This window comes from Homo sapiens, chromosome 15 (assembly GCF_000001405.40).
Source record: "Homo sapiens chromosome 15, GRCh38.p14 Primary Assembly".
In the NCBI taxonomy this organism is placed as follows: domain Eukaryota; kingdom Metazoa; phylum Chordata; class Mammalia; order Primates; family Hominidae; genus Homo; species Homo sapiens.
The window spans coordinates 69,633,582-69,654,287 of NC_000015.10; the positions used below are offsets into that span (position 1 = coordinate 69,633,582).

At 42.8% G+C, this 20,706-nt stretch overlaps 1 long non-coding RNA gene across 2 annotated transcripts in view, besides 1 other annotated feature; it reads left to right on the forward strand.

Moving 5' to 3' along the window:
* PCAT29 (prostate cancer associated transcript 29) overlaps positions 1 to 20,706 on the forward strand; it is a 103,551-nt gene that overhangs the window by 41,382 nt on the left and 41,463 nt on the right. The window lies entirely within an intron of this gene.
* Positions 12,806 to 13,384: an enhancer, noted in NCBI's record as "NANOG-H3K27ac-H3K4me1 hESC enhancer chr15:69938726-69939304 (GRCh37/hg19 assembly coordinates)". NCBI's record gives its function as "activates a minimal SCP1, AML or CMV promoter by ChIP-STARR-seq in naive H9 embryonic stem cells {active_cell/tissue: H9 hESC(naive)}" and the evidence as "EXISTENCE:reporter gene assay evidence [ECO:0000049][PMID:30033119]".

A 20,706-nucleotide genomic window follows, 5' to 3' on the forward strand; every position in this document is an offset into this window, starting at 1 on the left:
AAGCTTTCATAAAGAAAGTGACAAAATTTTATGAGTTTTGTGTAAGAGAAGACCTGAATAAGTGGAGAAATATGACGGGTTCTTGGTTGGGGAAAAGGAACAACGAAAGATGTTAGTTTCTCCTGAATTAATACATAAGTCTAGCAAAACCTCAATGGAAACTTTTCATAATTCATCAGAACAACTTTACAATGAATCTGGAAGAATGACAAGTTAAAAACAGCTAAGACATTTTTGAAAGAACACGAAGACAGGATTTCCTTTAACATAGATTAGAATATATTTTAAAGCTACAGCAACTGTCCAGCAAGGTACTGGCTCAAGAACAAGTCAGCATCAGTGGCACATAACTGACCTCTGAAACCAAACTTACAAGCAAAATGAAATAAAAAGAAGCATTGCAAATCCATGAGAAAGGGTTGGATTAACAAATGCTGTTGAGAAAATTGACTACTTGGAAGCCAATCTTTTTAGATCTTAATCTTTTTCTCAGGCAAATTCCAAGCAAGTTATAGCATTAAGTATTTAAAAACCTCATAGCAAAATATGAAAGTTTAAGTGAATATTTAAATGATCTTAAAGTGGGTAATACATATTTAACTTAAGAACAATTGGAGAAATCACGAAGGAAATTGTCAGTAGAATTGCCTACACAAAGCTCTAAATGTATATTTTTAAAAAAGAAACTACAAAAATAAAAAGGTAAATGACAAATTGGGAAAAATGCTTGCAACAGGTATGGCGAAAGGCTAATAGCCTTAAGAATACAAAGAGTTCTAACAAAGTCTAAAGAAAAAAAGGACTAACATCCCAGCAAAAAAAACTGGCAGAGAACATTCACAAAATAAGACATACAGATGGCTAACGTATGAGAAAATGTTTAATTTTACCATTAGCCAAAGAAATGAGAAATAGAACAATAATAAAATCCCATTTTCACTTGTCCAGTTATTAAGATTGGAGATGATGATGATGATGATATGTGTTAGCAACTAGGTGATGATATTGGAACATAAATTGGCACAACCTGTCTGGAAAAATTTAAACAGTTTTCATATTTTTGGACTCCATGGTCCTACTTCTAGGAACCCATACTAAGAAAACACTGGCAATGAGATCAGGATGTTCATGAGAGCATTATTTATCAGACTTAAATATTGGAAATAATTGTTATATATGTAACAAATGAGGATTGATAAAATAGAGTATATTTATATTGTAGAAAACATTTTTAAGGCATATATTCAAAAAATACTTAATAACATGGGAATGTGCTTGCAATGGATTGTTAAACTTTTAAAAAAAATAATCAAAGCTCTGTGTGTGCGTGTGTGTGTGTTTGTGTGTTCATATGTATGTGTGCTGAATCTGAATTTTCTACTCTTCTGTAGGTAGTCGGGAGAGCCAGAGTTAATATGATCTGTTATTTACCTTCATGCCCTCAGTCTCCTCACCTGTGAAATGGGATCATAATGCTCGACTCTCAGGGCTGTGTGAGAATGAAATGAGACCGCTTATATGAACAGGATGTAGGTCTAATCTTTCATGCATCTGTGTCTTCCCTATTCAAGGAAGTTGGCTTTTCCTAAGGGCAGGAACTGTGTGACTCCTTGACCTGTAAGAGAAAGTGTTGTACGGGGTGTTCATTAGGATCTAAAGTTAAGCTTTAAAGTTCTGGGACCATGTTGAGTTCCAGCCTTGACATTATCTCATGCTTCTTGCATGACTTTAGGCAACTCACCATCTGCCCATGGGCTCCAGCTCCTTGGGATCAGATGAGAAAATGGCTATGCTCCCTTCAAGAGCTAACAGGATGTGATTCTCTTTTAACCTCACAATTAAAAGTCACAGCCATCTCATAGTTTGTCTGGGTCAGGGATGGCCTCGCAGGGCTCTCAGGCTGGGCTACTGCCCATGGACAGATGGATTGACCAGTGGAAGGATGGAGTAATTATGCTCACACATGGCAGCAGGGGTCTTCTTCTGTTTTGTCCACTTATGTGTCGCCAGTACCCAGAGCCGGGTATGGCTTTTGGTGAATGCTCAGCACTCATTGACTGAATGAAGAATGAATGGAAAGATGGACTGATGGATAGATTGCCTGCAAGACAGGCTGTGTGGCTGACTTGAGATAGTGTCCTCAGGACCTCCTTGACTGGCCTTGGACCCATTAAGGAGGGAAGGAGAGAGGTGAAGGTAAAGGTGATGCAGGAGGAGAGAGACCTCCTGCATCATCTTTGTCTTCCTTGGACAGCCTGGTGGAGGCTGGGGTTTGCGTCTCTCACTGTGTGCATGCTGAACAAATCAAAAGTCATGGTCCTGGGAGCCTGAGCCTCATCCTGTGCTACATGTTTTACATGGATTATATTATTTGGAGCTCACTTAATCCAAGGAGGGTAGTATCATTATCCTCATTTGCATATAAAACAATGGCCTCAGGAAGGGAGGAAAATTTACGCCAAGGTCACACAGCTTTTTAGTAGAGGAGTTGGGATTTGATCCTAGGTCTTTCTGATTTCCAAGCCATTGACCTTGAAGTTATACTCTACAAGTGTTGCTCTCCTTAAACTTCTCCCTTTTGTAGAAAGGAAAGACTCCACTTTTGCTGTGTGTGCATCTTGGGAGGAGTATGGGCTCTGCCCCTAAATCATAGCCTCAATATGAGTGCTGTGCTGGGAATGGGCCATCAGCGTGGTGACGGATCCCCACCGTCCATCACGCCCCCGCAGCATTGTGACATGCAGTGCTGGAATGTAATCAGAGTGATGGTGTCCTGATCTATGGGGATGTTCATCATCTCAGGGCTGGTACCTTGACATATTACCGTAGCTTGCTGTCAGTGGGACAGCCCCTTAATGTATTTCCGTAATACATCACCCACTGATGGGGATCAAGGAGGCCTGCTGATGCTAGTCGGCTGGAGCCCTTTCTGTGAGTCTCCCTGACTTCTTGTTCTCTTAAAGATTCATGTGAGTTTGTGTGTGCCTCAGGAGACAGCATAAGAGAAGGAGGCAGGAACAGAGACCGAAAGATGAAGAAAAGATGAGAATAGAGAGACAGAAAGAAAAGCAGGAAAAGAGAAAAGGAAGAGATGGGAAAAGAAAGGGAAGAGAGCAAGAAAGATTGGAGAGGAGATGAATGGGAAGAGAAAATAAGAGAAAAGAGGTGGGGGGGTGGAGATAAAGATGGCAGAGAAGAAAGAGTGAAAAACAGGAGGAAGAGAAGATTCAAGGGAGAAGGAGGAAAGGAACCAGAAGAATCAAGGCTAAGGTGCAGTGTAAACAGAGAGCAGCAGGAGAGAGTAGGGAAGCACTCAGCTCTGGAGTGAAGCGCAGGTGTTGTTGGAGATTCGGATCCTTTTATTTAGCCTTGGTGGAGGCCTGGCTTTCCTGGGGGCTAGAAGGGCTGTGGGAGTAGGTGGGGTTGCCTGAAGGGAATGGGATATGAAAATTCTTTCTCCCTCCAAAGACAGCAAAGAAGTTTTTGTGGTCAGCCACAACCTTTCTCATTCTGCCTTCATTGTTGCAGAGGTCACCTGGGTGGGAAGAGTCTCAAAACTGCCTCTTCACCCCCTCACCCGCCAAGTCCACCTGAGATCTGAACATCTTTGCTCAGACTGCCCAACAGCACCACAAGCTCAGAGACCCCTAACTGTGGTCATTCACTCTACCCCTGGTCTCCCTTCTGGCTTCCCCATTGCAATGAAAGGTGTTGCCAGTCTCTAGGGCCCTGGTTCACAGGGGCATCTTGTCTTGTTATTCTCTCCACATTTAGATCTATCAGATTCGTAGAGCAACTGAGCCTGTTTGGGCTTCTTACCAACTTCTGTTTGCCTCACCCATTATCTAGACCCTCTGAAAGCAGAGTCTGGAAGCTGACTCAGCAAGCAAGAACCATTTCCTCTTAGAAGCTGAGGATGGATTATACACTAGTGATTTTATTTCCTATTACATGTGAATCACTTTTGCCCCTGGCCCATGAGTACTACAACTGGGAATCAAGGTGAAGATCTGACAAGAAAATAGGTAGCAAACTGAGTAGTCGAGAAGGTTCAAAAGAGACAGTTTCAGAAGAATAGTGGGGACTGGGCAATTGGCTCAAGAATGAGACTGTGAATGGAGGTGTGAACCAGGGCACCATTTCTATGTGGAGCCTGGCACTTGCTCTGGGTTGGCTGCTGCTGCTGCTGCTGCTAAAAGGGCTCTCAGGCCCTTGCAAGGTCAAGGCTGAACTCCTTGCCTTGCCATTCAGGGCCCCTGACAGCCTGGCCTGTACGTTCCATTCCTGTCCTATCTCTTATTGCTCCCCCTATACTGACACCCCATTTACTGCAGCCAGCTTCCCCTGCCTGCCTCTCTCTAGTGCTTAGCCTTTACTAGGGTGCTCTGTCCCCCCATTGCTTCCTGTCTACATTCTACTCCTTTTCAAGGCTTCAATTAAGTTTCTCCTCTGTGGAGCCCTCTCTCCTCTTGTCATGCTGATTATGTCTCTCACTGACTTGGCCACAGCGTGTTGCATCTCCCCAACGAGACTCTAAGCTCTCTGAGGGCAGGGGTCGTGTATTCTATTTCTCTGTAACCCTCACAGTAGGGCTAGAATAAAGCCCTTCCGAATGAACAAATGTAAACTAGCAGTAGTGTGAGTCCTGAAAGGAAAGAGGGACCAAGATGAGGCCTTATGATGAGGTACAGTGGCCCTGGCTAGGCTCCTGAGCAAACTCCTCTTTATCGCTCCAGGCCTGAGTTTCTTCATGTGTGAATTGAAAGGATTGATGAGATCTATGACCTGCACTTAAAAAGGAAAAACAGACAAACAAACAAACAAAAAAACCCTTAAGCCTCTTAGTTCCAGATAATTACAGATTCACATGCAATTGTAGGAAACAATACAGAGAGATCCCATGTACCCTTCACCTATTTTTTCTCCAATGGCATCATCCTTGCAGAACTACAGTATAACAACTACGATATTGCTATTAATACAGTCAAGATACAGGCCAGGCATGGTGGTAGGTCATGCCTGTAATCCCAGCACTTTGGGAGGCCAAGGTGGGCAGATCACTTGAGGTCAGGAGTTTGAGACCATCCTGGCCATCGTGGCGAAACCCCCATTTCCACTAAAAAATACAAAAATTAGCCAAGCATGGTGGTGCACACCTGTGGTCCCAGCTCCTAGGGAGGCTGAGGCAGGAGAATTGCTTGAACCCAGGAGGTGGAGGTTGCAGTGAACCGAGATCACCCCACTGCACTCCAGCCTGGGTGAGAGAGTGAGTCTCGGTCTCAAAAAAAAAAAAAATACACACAAGATACAAAATATGTTCATCACCGTAAGGATCACTTATCTTGCCCTATTATAAACATCTCTATGTTCCCCTCACCCTCCACCCCCATCCCTGACCCCTAGAAACCATGAATCTACTCTCCACTTGAAGTATTTTGCCATTTCAAGAATGCTATATAAATGGAATCATGCAGTATAGAACCTCTGTGATTGCCTTCTTTCATTCAGCATAATTCTCTGGGGATTCATTCAGGTTTTTGCATGCATCAATACTTCATTCCTTTTTATTGCTACGTAGTATTTCATGGTATGGTTGTACGATTGTTTGTTTAACCATTCACCACTGATAGACCTCTGGGCTGTTTCTAGTTTTGGTGAATACAAATAGAGCTGCTGTAAACATTTGTGCACAAGCTTTTGTGTGAACATGTCTTCATTTCTTTGGGACAAATACCCAGGAGTGCAATTGCTGGAGCATGTGGTAGATGCATATTTCGTTTTTAAAGAAACAGCCAAATTGTTTTCCATGGTGGCTCTACCATTTTACACTCCCACCAGCAATGTATGAGTTATCCAGTCCCTCTGCATCCTCACCAGCATTTGTCGTTGTCACTACTCCTTATTTTAGCCATTCTGATAGGTGTGTAGTGACATTTCATTATGATTTTAATTTTCATTTCCGTGATGGCTAATGGTGTTGAACATCTTTTCATGTGCTTATTTGTGATCTATATATGCTCTTTGGCGAAGTGCTTCTTCATTCAGTTTGTTCATTTTAAAATTGCATTATTTGTCTTTTATTGCTGACTTGTGAGAGTTCTTTATATGTTTTAGATACTAATCCTTTGTTGAATATGTGGTTAGCAAATATTTTCTCCCATTCTGTAACTTGTCTTTTCATTCTTCTAACAGGGAAGATTTTTAATTTAGTTTTGATAAAGTTTAATTTATCAATTTTCTTCTTATGGGTTATACTTTGGGTGTTGAGTCTAAGAACTGTTTGCCTAGTCTTAGATCCCAAACATTTTCTTTTATTTTTTTCTAAAAGCTTTAGAGTTTTGCATTTTCCATTTTGAATTAATTTTTATGTAATTATCAAGCATGAGACTTAGGTCAATTTTTTTTTTTGGCTCTGAATGCTGTGCAACTTCTCTGGCACCATTTGTTGAAAAAGCTATCTATACTCCATTGAATTGTTTTTGTACAAAAATTGATCGGGCTAATTTGTGTGGGTCTATTCCTGGTTTCTCTCTTCTGTTCTATTGATTTATGTGTCGATTACTCTGCCATTACTACACAGTCCTTACTAGAGTGGCTATATGAGTCTTGAAATCTGGTAGACTGATTTCTCCCACTTTATACTTCCTTTTTGAAATTGTTTTTAGCTATTTTAGTTCTTTGCCTTTCCATATAAATTTTAGGATACTCTTGTTCATATATACAAAAAATCTTGCTGGGATTTTGATAACAATTGTGCTAAACTTGTATATCATTTTGGAAAAAATGACATTTTTACTATGTTGAGTTTTCCTATCCAAAATCCCAGTATGTCTCTCCATTTATTTAGATCTTTGATTTCTTTCATTCACTATTGTATAGTTTCAGCATACAACTCCTATTTATATATGTTATTGGATTTATGTCCAAAGTATTTCTTTTTTTGGACAATTATAAATGATATTGTATTTTTTATGTTGGCGTCCATGTGTTCATTGCTAGTGTATAGAAATACAACTGACTTTTATGTATTTGTCTTTTACCTTGTGATAGAACATCACTGGTTAGTTCTAGGAGGTTGTTTGCTTGTATTTTGTATTTTTGTAGCATCCTTGAAATTTTCTTTGTAGACAATCATGCTATATGTGCACATAGAGACGGTTTTTCTTTTCTGATTTGTATGCTTTTTAGTTACCTTTCTTGCCTTATTACATTGGCTAACAATTCTAGCACTGTGTTGAATAAGAGTGGTGAGGATGGACATCGTTGCCTGTTTTTAGTCTTAGAGGGAAAGCATTCAGTTGTTCGCTGTTAAGTATAATGTTACCTGAAGGTATTTGGTAGATGCTTTTTATCAAGTTGAGAAAGCTAGTCCTCTATTCCTATTCTCTTTCTGAGAACTTTTATTGTGAATTGTTGCTGAATTTGATCAAATGCTTTTTTTTGCATCAATTGATATGATCATGTGATTTTTCTTATTTCACCTGTTAATATGGTTGATTACATTAATTAAGTTTCAAATATTGAACCAGTGGGCATCTCTGGAATAAACCCCATTTGGTCATGGTATATTATTCTTTTTATATATTGCTGAATTCTATTTGCCAATATTTTGTTAAGGATTTTTGCATCTATATTCATGAGAGATAACGCGTTGTATCTTTGTCTGGTTTTAGTATCAGGGTAATACTAGCTTCGTAAAAAATTGGGAGTGTTCCTTTCTCTTCTATTTTCTGGAATAGATTATGTAGAATTGGTGTCAATTCTTCTTTAAATATCTGGTAGGATTCACCTGTGAAACCATTTGGGATTTGTATGCTTGGGACTGGAGAGTTGTTTTTGTGAATTAAAGAAAAGTCATTTACTTTCCTTGAATAATTATAGGTTGTAGTTACAGTTATAGGACAATTTTAATGATCTATTTTGCGTTAGGTGAATTGTGGCAGTTTTTAAGGATTTGGTCCATTTCATCTAAGTTGTCAAATTTATGTGTGTAGATTTGTTGTAGTATTCTCTTATTAGGTTTCTGGATGTCTGCAGGATCTGTAATTATATCACCTGCTTTATTTCTGATATTGATAATTTGTGTCTTCTCTCTTTTTTTTATTTGTGAGCTTTTTTCTAGAAATTAGTCAATTGTGTTGATTTTTTCAAAGAACCAAATGTTTGTTTTGTTAATTTCACGATTGTTTTCCTGTTTTCAATGTCATCAGTTTTGCTCTTATTTTTATTATTATCTTTCTTCTACTTGCTTTGATTTTATTTTACTCATCTTTTTTGAAACTCTTAGGCGGGAGCTTAGATTATTGACTTCAGACTTTTCCTTTTTTTCTAATGTATGTACGTAGTGTTATAAATTTTCTCCTCAGCATTTTAGCTGTGTCCCACAAATTTTTATATGTTCTATTTTCATTTTAATTCAGCTCTATGTATTTTTAAAGCTTCCTTTGAGACTTCTTTGATCTGTGGATTATTTGAAAGCATGTTTTTTAGTTTCCAAGTGTTTGGAAATTTTTCTGTTATCTTTCTGTTAGTGATTTCTAGTTTGATTCCATTTTGGTTGGTGAAAATACTCTGTGTGATTTCTATTGTTATAAATTTGAGAGTTATTTTATGGCCTAGGATACAGTCTATCTTGGTTTATGTTCTGTGGGCCCTTGAAAACAATGTGTATTCTGCTTTTATTGGGTGAGGTGTTCTATAAATGTGATGAGAATCCATTGTTAACGGTGATGACTTCTATATCCTTACTGGTTTTCTGTCTGGTCATTCTATAAATTGTTGACAGAAGGATAGTTAAGTCTCAAATTTTATTGATAATTTCTTCTTTTAGTTTTGTTCTGTTTCACATAGTTTGCATCTTTTTATTTGGTGAATTCACATTTAGTATTGTTAGGTCTTCTTGGTAAGTTGACTCTCTCTTTTTTTTTTTTTGAGAAGAAATCTCACTTTGTCGCCCATGCTGGAGTGCAGTGGCGTGATCTCGGCTCACTGCAACCTCTGCCTCCCGGGTTCAAGCGATTTTCCTGCCTCAGCCTCCTGAGTAGCTGGGATTACAGGCACCCGCCACCACGCCCGGCTAATTTTTGTATTTTTAGTAGAGACAGGGTTTCACCATGTTGGTCAGGCTGGTCTTGAACTCCTGACCTCGTGATCCGCCCACCTTGACCTCCCGAAGTGCTGGGATTACAGGCGTGAGCCACCATGCCCAGCCGCAGTTAATGCTTTGACACAACAGTTCTGTGTGCAAGCCTAGTTTTTTAGATGTTTTGAATGTTAGCCAGGTAGCCATCTCCACTTTTTTTTTTTTTTTTTTTTTTTGAGGTGGAGTCTTGCTTTGTAGCCCAGGCAGGAGTGCAGTCGTGCAATCTTGGCTCACTGCAACCTCTGCCGTTTGGGTTCAAGCGATTCTCCTGCCTCAGCCTCCCAAATATCTAGGATTACAGGCATACGCCACCACGCCTAGCTAATTTTTGTATTTTTAGTAGAGATGGGGTTTTGCCATGTTGGCCAGGCTGGTCTCGAACTCCTGACCTCAGGTGATCCGCTGTCTCGGCCTCCCAAAGTGTTGGGATTACAGGTGTGAGCCATTGCGCCCAGCCAACACTTTTATCGTTACATAATGTCTCTTTCTGTCTCTGGTGATTTTATTTACTCCAAAGTCTACTTTATCTGATTATTGACATAGCCACTCTTGCTTTCTTTTGAATATATATATATATCATTTGTTAAAAAAACTGTCAACTTGCTTTTGTCATTGTATTAGTTTGTTCTCCCACTGCTATAAAGAAATACCTGAGACTGGGTAATTTATAAAGAAAAGAGGTTTAATTGACTCATGGTTCCACAGGCTCACAGGAAGCGTGGCAGCATCTGCTTCTGGGGAGGCCTCAGGGAGCTTTTACTCATAGCGGAAGGCAAAGTGGGAGCAGGCGTCTTACATGGCAGGAACAGGACCAAGGTGGGGTAAGGGAGGTGCTACACACTTGTAAACAACCAGATCTTGTGAGAGCTCTGTCATGAGAACAGCACCAAAGGGATGGTGCTAAACCATTCACGAAGAATCCAGCCCCATGATCCAACCACTTCCCACCAGGCCCCACCTCCAATAACGGGGATTAAAATAGAACATGGAATTTGGGTGGGGACCCAGATCTGAACTATATCAGTCATTATATTTGAAGTGAGTGTGTTGTAGCAGTATTTAGTTGGGTCATACTTGTAATCTATTCCGCCAGTCTCTATCTTCTACTTGGTGTATTTAAACTATTTACATTTAATTTGACTATTGATATGTCAGAGTTTAAGCTGATATTTTATTTTTTGTTTCTTGTTTGTTTTCTGCTTCTGTTTGTTATTTTGCCTTCCTATGAGTTACTTGAACATTTTTGAGGATTTTATTTTGATTTTTCTACAGTGTTCTTAAGTATATCTATTTGTATAGGATTTTAGTGGTTGTTCTAGGTATTATATTATATATTCATAACTTTTTACATTCTACTGGTATGATCAGCTTACCATCCAGATGAAGTGTGGAAAACGTCATATCCTTTATATCTCTTATCCATTCAAAACCACATTAGACAGTGTTGTACCTGTTGCTTCAACCATCAAACATAAATTATAAAACTAAATAACAAAAGGAAAGTCTATTGTTTTTACTCATATTTGTGCTTAATATGTTCTTTATTTCATCATGATATTCCAGGGTTTCTTCTTCAATAGTTTTCTTTCTGTTCAGAGAAATTTCTTTAGTTATTCTTTTAGGGTAGGTGTGTTGTAAACAAATTCTCTCAGTTTTCCTTTATCTGTGAATATCTTGATTTCTGTGAATATCCTGCATTTTCGAAGGACAGTTTTGCTGAGTGTAGGATTCTGGATTGACACTTCTTTTCCCTGAGCACTTGAAAAATATTGTGCTGTTTCTTCTGGCTTTTATGGTTTCTGATGAGAGATCCACTGTCATTTAGTTTTTCTTCTTTAGGTAAGGTGTCATTTTTCTCTGGCTACTTTCAAGATTTTTTCCTTGTCTTTAGTTTCCAGAAGTCTTGTTGTAGATTTCATTGGCTTTATCCTGTTTGAGGTTTGCTAAAATTTAGGAAATTTTCAGCCATTATTTCTTGTAGTACTTTGTCAGTCCTGCTCTCATTTCTCCTTCTGGGACTCTGATGACAGGAAATCAAATATATTTTGCTATAGTCTCACAGGTCTCTGAAAATGTGTGTGTGTGTGTGTGTGTGTGTGTGTATGTGTGTATTTTCTCTTTGATTTTCAGATTGGGTAATTTCAATTATTCTGTCTTCCAGTTCACAGATTCCTTCCTCTCTTCCCTCCATTCTGCTGTTGAGCCCAATCACTGAGTTTTTAATTTTGGTTAGTGTATTTTTAAATTCTAACATTTCTATTTGTTTCATGTTTATATCTTTTATTTATTGACTGAGGCTTTCTATTTTGTCATTTGTTTCAAGCATGTTCATAATTGCTATTGAAGCATTTTTTATGATGACTGCTTTAAATTCTTTGTGAGATAACTTTCAATCTGTCATTTCAGTGTTGAAATCTATTGTCTTTTTTCATTCAGTTTGAGATCTTCCTTCTTGGTATGATGAGTGATTTTAAAATTTATATCTGGATATTTTTCATTATATTATGAGACTCTGAGTCTTGTCTTAAACTATCTGGTTTAGCCGGCTTTTTTTTTTTTTTTTTTTTTTGACATTGCTTTAGCTGGGTGGGGATTGAACAGTGGGGAGACTACTGCTTTGTCCCTGCAAGGTGGAGGTAGGAGTCCAGGTTCTCCACACAGTCCTCATTGATATGTGAGAAGGGATCTCTCATTACTGCTGGGTAGGGATGGCAGCTCCAGCAGCCTCCACTGATAATGAGGTGTGGGTGACCTTGTTACTGCTGAGCAATGGTAAAAGTCCTGACTCTCCACTAGGCCTCCCCTAATACCACCTCAGTGGGATGGAATGCCTCCTTCCTGCCAAGTAGGATAGAATTTAGGCTCCCCACTTTACCTTTGCTGGCATGGGAGATGGTGGGGCCATGATGTTTTTCTAGAGTGAAGCAGTTATCACTTGAATGTTTTCTGTCTCACTAGGCTGCCCCTTTACTTGTCCTTTGGCTAGAGAGAGTAGACTTTATTTGGAACTTTTCTTATCTGCACCAGTTGCAGTTTCTAGGTTGTTGGCTTCTTTAGCTCTAAGTCTGGGATGTGCCATGCACAAAGAAAATCCAAGGAACTCATCATTGTGCAGTTCCTTGAGTCTTAAGGTCCCTAGCCTATCTGCTTTCTATCTACCTTAGGTTTATTTTGTATATAATATCGAGGACTTTTAGTTGTACATAGCAGCAGGAATAGGGAAAAGTACATCTACTCCATCTTGCTGGAAGCAGAAGTAGATCTGGCCTTTACTTTTAATCTGCTGAGCCGTTCAACAAATCTTGTAAGTGGAAGCCCAAAATTTTAGGTAGAAAAATGTTGTTCCAGTTGAAGTGGTAGTGTGGACTACAGCCCTGACCACTAGTCTTCTATTCCCAGTAGCCCTTTGAAGTACTTCCCAGAAGTCCTGGGGTTCCACGGAGAATGCAGGTTGCAAACGCAGAGCATTAAATGACCTTTTCTTTTCCTATAATGGGGGACACAGCCACGAAAAGACAGTGAATGAGGACTTGGGCATAGGGGTAAATTTGGGCCAGCAGGAAGTGCCCAGCTACTTCCCAAGTGGACCTCTTTTGCCCACAGGAGTCATCTGCTCTTTTATTTATTTATTTAGAGACAGAGTCTCACTCTGTCACTCAGGCTGGAGTGCAGTGGTGTGATCTGGGTTCACTGCAACCTCTGCCTCCCGGGTTCAAGCGATTCTCCTGCCTTAGCCTCCCAAGTAGCTGGGATTACAGGCGTGTGCCACTATGCCCGGCTAATTTTTGTATTTTTAGTAGAGACGGGGTTTTGCCATGTTGGCCAGACTGGTCTTGAACTCCTGACTTCAAGTGATCCACCCGCCTCGGCCTCCCAAAGTGCTGGGATTACAGGCGTGAGCCACCGCGCGCCCGGCCTCATCTGCTCTTTAGCATGCCCTAAATTGGCTTCCTTCTCTTCCCTTTCTCACGTCCACGCTCCCTGACTGGCGCGTCCCGCGATTACCTCTCACACGAACTACTTTCCCTCAAATCCTTGTCTCAGGGTCTACTTCTGGGGGGAGCCAAACTTAGAAGCATACAGATTTAATCAATGTAATCAGTGCTGTGTGTGAGAATGATGGTGGTGAGCTGACTTGGAAATGACAAATAAGACCAATCTGTCTCCATGGCACCATCCTCTGAGTGCATTTCTTGTCATCATTTCAGACCCAACTGTGTTGCTACCGGCGCCAGCAGTGCTCTGGGACCCAGGCCTGCTGTGCAGAGCAGTGTCCTCCCACCCCCACAGCCTGCCTCTGAGATCACGCTGGCTAGAACAGACAGTGGAATTTCGGTTCCGGGATATTTGCCAAGGGGGCTTTCGTGTTTTTGTTGTTTTTGTTTTGGTTTACTCTGAAAGTACCTGTTCTCAAAGCCGTGATTGAAGAAAAGTTTTCCAGTGCTGTGGGCTGCTTTTCTGTCTTGGATCTTGACCCCTGGCTCCCTGCTGAGGTTTTTCTTTGCTGTTGGTGGGCTCACAGGGACACCCTGCAACCAGGAATCCCCACTGCCCTGCTCTGAGGCTGAAGCAGGAAAATGAGGGACCCCAGCCTTCCCTGGTCCTGGAGATTGTCCGACCACACTCTGCAGAGCTCCTCCCCAGGTCAGCTTGTTGATTCAGCCTTTGCTCTTTTGTCCTGTAGGTGAGGAGCAGGCAGATTCCTTAGTCTTCTGAGATTTCCTCTCTGCTCTTAATCCCAAAGAGTGGCTCTTGTGGTGGAATCTCAGGCTTTGGGAGAAGCTGTCCCACAAGAGGTGACTTCAGAGAATCTTGATGTCTGATCAATAAAAAGACAAACAGACTTCGTTAGGGAGAGGTTTAGGAAGGAACTGTTGCAATAGAGAAAGTGTTCTGACTATGAGATCTGCAGGCATCACAGGTAAGATAGAAAGAGGATTTTCTTGTATAAAAAGGGAGTAAACCAGGCTAGAAAGAACAGGCATGGGGAAGGGAGATGAGAGGGGGTGACCCTGGGACAGTAGATGGGAGAATGTTTTACCCTGAGGCCAGCCTGTCTCTGGAAGAGCATTAGGATAGATGGCCCGCTGGCTCATGCTGAGGGTAGGTTAAAATTCAGGGGCCTAGGTGAAGGAGAGAAACTTAACCCAGGTTTTGTTAACATGCCTTTTGTTCCAATTAATTAGTGGGAGCAAAATACTTAATGATTTATGAGACAAAGAAGGGGAATTTAAAGGGTCTGAGTCTGGTCTTATCATGGGTAAGCAAGGGGGCATCTAAGAGTCCTATCCAAGTCATATAGAAAGGATGCTTCATTGCAGTAAGCCTTTTCCTGGAACACAAAGGGGTGGAAGGATTTCTTTAACCATCATTATTTTCCAGAATCACAGAGCTCAGATAAAATTCAACATTGTCAGTCCCATCCTGGGACTTGAGTTGCACCCTGCAGGAAATAGACTAGATCCAGCATTTCTCCATGAGGACGAGATCCCCGTGGGAGCTGCTCTCACCTGGAGAGAAGCTTCCTCCCTGCTCTAGTGGGCATGGGCCAGGGCTCCGGGGGCTTTCCAGGCAGCGTTCTTGGGCGCTGCTCATAGCTCAGAGCTGGGCTTCCCTCCTCCCACCCTCCTACCCTCCCAGCTCCCGGCCGCCCCCTTCTCCGCCTGCCACACAGCTGTTTTGCCAACATCATTGCCTGATTATCTTTCAAGTGGCTTCTCGGAGCAGATGTTCCCGGCTCCTTCCTGCCTCGAAAACAAACAGGCGCCGTCTCTCCTGGGGAAAATCCCTCTGCTGCCACAGACTCTTCTTGAGAGGTTCGGCGATGTCTGTGAAATCTCTCTGGGCTGCTCTTTGCCAGGAATTTGGCTCTGGATGGATGGCAGGGGCTCCTCAGGTCTTTCAAGGTGTGTGTGGCCCCTCGAGGGGCACTGGGAGTGGGGAAGCACACTTTTAACAGAATCAGATTCCAGTCTGGGCGAAGCAAGGGTGGTATTTCCTTCTGTTACTATGTCTCGATCTTATTTAACCTTTTGAAAAACATCAACATCCATCAACTTTGATTCTGAAAGACCCTCTTGGGGGTTGTCCTTAGTTCGAAATCCCTGTTTGTTTCTGATAGCCCCACCAACAAGAAGATGTTGTCAGGCTTGCTTTTTGAGGTTTGTATTATGAAAGCAATAGGTTTTTGGTTTCCCTTTCATGAATATGAAAGTCTAGTATAAAGTTGAATGTGTATTTTAAAATGTGCTCATCTCATCTCCTTACCCACAGTGAGAATCAAGGCTCTTCGTGGCCCCCAGGCAGCTGCTTACAGGGTAGGCAGGATAATCTGGGCCACAGTTGAAAGGCCCTCTTGCCTCTCCAACCTGCTGTGTGCAAAAAATTGCACCCTCAGCAATTCCCTTTTTGGAGGGAAGGCTTGAATGCACAGGTAATACACATTGGCCACAGCCTCCAAGCTGCTCTGGCAGAGAAGGAGAGAGGCACAGGCTGGGGCTTGCCTGGGGAGGAAGATGGGGCATTGGGAAGACCGCAGCAGTGAGATCTCTCTGGAGGAGAGGGTCACCTGAGGATGCTGAGCTGGGAGGTAGGAAGGCAGGAAAAGGAAGCCCTCCTGGTGTGTGCAGAGGAATGCGGATTGCCAGCATTCTTGCTCGCCTTGGCCCGCCCAAGAACTCTGGGAGCTGGTAGCAGACAGAATAAAATCATATGTGAAATACGTTTGAGGGTCTGTTCCCAAGTTTTCCACTGATTTGGGATGACGTCCTTGCTTCTGTCCATTCTGAAATCCCCAACTCCTCCCCGACTTTGTCGCTAGAGTATCCTCCTCTGCCGCACTCAGTCCTGCCTTACTCCTCCCCAGCATTCCCCTGGAAGCGTGCACATGGCTGCATCTCATGGCTCCTGCGCTCATCATGCTTAGCAGACAGACTGTTGATCACCTGGTCCTGATTTGCCCCTACTGTGTTGGCCTCTGAGGTACCACCCTCTCCTGATTTCCATCTTACTTCTCTGCCTATTTCCTCTCTTTCTCCTTTGCTGTTTTTTCCTCACTGATCTGCAAATGTGCAGATTTCTGTGATAGGGCCCCTGCCCTCCTCTAATCTTTTCTTAGACCAGTGTTCTACGCATGTGAGATAGCATCCAGACACTCTGGGGTGATTGTCAAACATATAGACTCCTTAGCCCCATCTCTAGACATCTCTTTTGGGGAGCCTGGGGGCCCAGAAATTTGCATGTTCAACAAGCACCCCAAAGAGTCCAAGAAAGTTCTGCACTGCACTGCACTGCACTGCCGCATGATTAAGCCCATCCAGTCCCAAGGCATTGCCGAGTATTTACCTGCTGACAACTCCCCATTTCACATCTCCAGCTCCAGGCTTGTATCTCCAAATCTACTTTATGTCTCCATTTGGATACCACCCAAGCAACTGAACCTGAGCATCTCCAGAAGGAAACTTGATTTTCCTCCCCAAACCATTTTTCCTTAGTCCCATCCCTGGAAACGAAAGCACCAACCTCCAGCAGATCCTCCAGACCTCCCATTCTGCCAGTCCTACGTCCAAAACGTTAACAAATCCTGCCAGCCGTGTTCACCTTCAGAACACTTTTCTACCTGGCTGCATTTCCTTCCTCTGGTACCACTGCCTCTCTACTCCAAGCCACCTTTATCACTGCCCGGATGTCTGCAGTGGATGCCTAAATGGTCTCCTGCCCTAACTCATTCTTCTGCACCAGCTAAGGAGGAAGTATGAAACACACAGCAGCCCCTGTTGCTCCCTTTAGTGGCTTCTCATCGCACTTAGAATGAACTCCCTAGGCCCTATGCCGTCTAGCTGCTGCCCACCTCTCCCCCTCCTCTGTTGTCACTCTGTGCCTTGCTTCATGTTGAACTTCTTTCTGTTCCCTGAATGGGCCAAACACTTTCCTGCCTTAGGGCTTCTGTACATGCTGATCCTTCTGCCCAGAATGCTCTTCCCTGGTTCTTCAAGTGTTTTTGTTTATTTTTATTTATTTATTTTTATTTTATTTTATTTATTTATTTATTTATTTTTTGAGACGGAGTCTCGCTGTGTCGCCCAGGCTGGAGTGCAGTGACGCGATCTCGGCTCACTGCAAGCTCCGCCTCCTGGGTTCACACCATTCTCCTGCCTCAGTCTCCCGAGGACCTGGGACTACAGGTGCCCACCACCACACCCGGCTAATTTTTTGTATTTTTAGTAGAGACGGGGTTTCACCATGTTAGCCAGGATGGTCTCGATCTCCTGACCTTGTGATCCTCCCGCCTCGGCCTCCCAAAGTGCCTTCAAGTGTCTTTGGCTCCTCCCTATCCTTTAGGTTGGAGTTTCCTGACTTCCTTGTTATCATATTATTTCTTTCATCCTATTATTTGTGATCATGGCAATCTGTTTATTCTTCCACAGACACTCATAGTTTTTAACTATACATGTGTTAATAATTACTTATGTCTTTTTGGTTCCTTTTACAAGACAGTGTGTTCTACGAGGGCAGGGACTATTCTGTTTTCCTTACCTAGTGCAGAGTAGCACCTGACAAACATTTGTTGAATGAATGAAGTGAATTTCATTTCATCCAGTTATGTACCATTTGGCTCCAGCCCTGTTATCCTATTGCACTCTATTCTGTTCAGACCTGTTTGCAACTATTCTGCCCTGTGCTGGTCTGCTGAATCCTATTCTATTCTGCTGCATCCTGTTCTAGTCTATTCTGTCCTGTTCCATTCTGTTCTGACCTGGTCTAGTCTACTCTGTCCTGTTTTATTCTGTCCCATCTTGTTCTATTCTATTCCAGCCTGTTCCAGTCTGGTTCTACTCGCTTCGTCTGTTCCATCCTCTCCTATTCTGTTCCATTCTAGTTTGCTTTTTTCGTCCTACTTCTTTCTATCTGTACCATACTATTCTTCTTGCTTCTATTCCATCACATCCTGCCCCAGTCCACACTGTTTGCTCGATTCTCATTGACTTCATCTCATTTAGTCTCACTCCAGCACATTTCACCCCGGTACTTTCCTCAAGCTTTTTGGAATACCTGCTTTGTGCTCAGTCTTCTTCAAGGGAGCCATGCGATTATGAGAGAAAGAAACATCATCCTGGGCCTGAGATGACCCCTCTAAAGGGTGAGTGAATGGGGAGAGAGGAGAGATTGACATCGGGGTCTTCACTGACCTATGATGGGGCGTGCTTGGTTAGGAAGAGAAGGCAATGGCATGAGAGGAAGCAGGGAATGGGCCCTGGAGTGTGGGTGATGCTCTGAGGACTTTAGCATGGGAAACTTAAGCAGGAGCCTGGGGCTGGGGCAGGCAGAGAGTACAAAGTAATGGGAGATCAAGGTGCAAAGGTAGGTTTTTCTCTTTCTGTGGTTGACTGGTGCTTTGATGTTTTCAAAGAAGGACACTTGCATGGTTTGGAAATGACTGTTGGGACACCATCCAGCCTGCTGCCATCAGGACATCAGAAGAGGCAGTGTTGTCCAGTGGAATGGGAATCCCTGGGGAGGCTGCTTAGCCTTTCTAAGCCTCAGTTCCCACATCCGTAAAATGGTCATAATAACACCTACCTTGAGTTTTGTGAAGATAAATAGCTTAGACTCCTGTGCAGAGGGTTGGCAAGCACTCAGTCCAGCACCTGACCTATTGTAGGTGTCCACGCAATGTTCACCCTCTCCTACCTTGCCACTGATCACTCTAGTCCACCCTGATGTTACTAGGTTAGCTCTGAAATCAGTTCTCCCCATTGTGAAATGGAGACAGTGTGAAGCAAGCAGGAAGTATTAGAGAGGCTCTGTAGAATTGTGGTTTTGAGCTTGAAGGGTCTGGATGCATGACAAATGTTTGTTGATTGAATGATTGATTATAGCTCCCTACATCCACCATAATACTTAGCATGGAGGTGGGAGCACATAGGAGGTACCTAATAAATAACCATGGACTTGTAACAAATATAAAAAGAACCTGAAAGAGTAGAAGGTGGGTGACACCCTTTCCAAAGCAGACCAGACAGGTAGATGCTGGGACTGAGCTGATGAAATTTGCACCAAACCTCCAAATATATTCAGAATCAGGGAATTAGGAGACAACGGAGGAGGCTGCCAAAAAGAATTTATCTCTGAAGTGGAGCTTGGGGAATAGCACTAATATTTTCGGAAATTGAAACTCCAACCATGAAATTGCCTATCATTTATCATACATGGTCTCTCAAAGGGGAAACGGGAAAGCATTTAGTCTTATTGCTTTTTAAACACATGATTGCTGAGCATAGCCATCCAGGCTGAGGTTTTAAGAGACAATGTGTCTGAAAGAGTCTGGCCAGCAAGTCACTCCAACCTAATGCAAGGCTGCTCTCTGCAGACTCTCCTATGCCAAGCACCCTGAGCCACGCGTGGTGAGGGTGCAACCCAGGCCAGGCTTGGGTGACTGGGTGTGGTGCCAATTCTAGCTTTCATAGAAAACTCTAAGTCTGAATTTTCCCCCAGCTCCTTCTTGATGCCCAATAGCTATCTCATTATTAAAGTCATTTGCACTTTTAGTTCCAAACTTCTTTGGAAAGGGTCCCACTGATGACTTCCACTTCCACCTCTATATTGATGCTTATCAAATTTCTCTTTCCTAGACCTACTGGGGATTTCAGGCCTCTATGTGAAACCACCACCCAGGTCTCTTCAACTGAAATGCCCATAGGTTCATCAAATGCAGCATGTTTGAACTGTAGACAACATTCTCCCAAGCTTCCTGGCTTGGCAAAAGGCATCCCTGCTGCCCTGAGAGCTGGAACAGACTCTGAGACACAGAATGACAATCGCCCATGTGTGTCAGCAGTTTGAAGGTGGCATTCTGCTATCACAGGGCTCATGATAGTTGATCTCCCAACAAGGGGCAGGTTGAGAATATCCACTAGTGGATCTGAGGTCAGTGAATAGGAAAGGAGGCTGGGGACTTTCTGGAGCAGCTCTTATACAGTGAGCCCAGTGTTTGCACTTGGACTGATATATGTTTGAAATTGTAAGGGAGACAGGAGGTGAGCACAGACTAAAGTCCTCTCAAGCCACCCTTCTGCTCCCAATAAGCTTGTAAGGAGAGCAGGGAAGGAACTGTTAAATTGTTATTACCATCCATAGATGAAGAACCTGAGTTTGCAAGAGACTGTATAACTTATCCAAAGCCACAAAGCTAGAGGTGGTGTCCATGAGATTCCCACCAGGCCTCCTGATGACCAGCATCGTGTTCTTTCTCCTGAACAGAGAAGTGCCCAGGACAATGGCCAGTACACTTGACAGCGAGTCAGAGGATGTGAGTTCTCACTCCTGCATGGCCACTAAAAATACCCAGCTACTGCCTGCTCTGCAGTCCTTGAGTGGGCCCTGGGAAATGGGGGTGTCTATGAAGCAGCCCCCCTGGGGCTCTGCACTCTCCCTGGACAGTGCATTCTCACCTCTGGCTACAGTGACCATCTCTGTACTGATGACATCTGGATCCTCATCTTTAACCCAATCTGTAGGACACCTCTCTTGGGAAACCCTACAGGCACCACTAAGTGAATATGTGT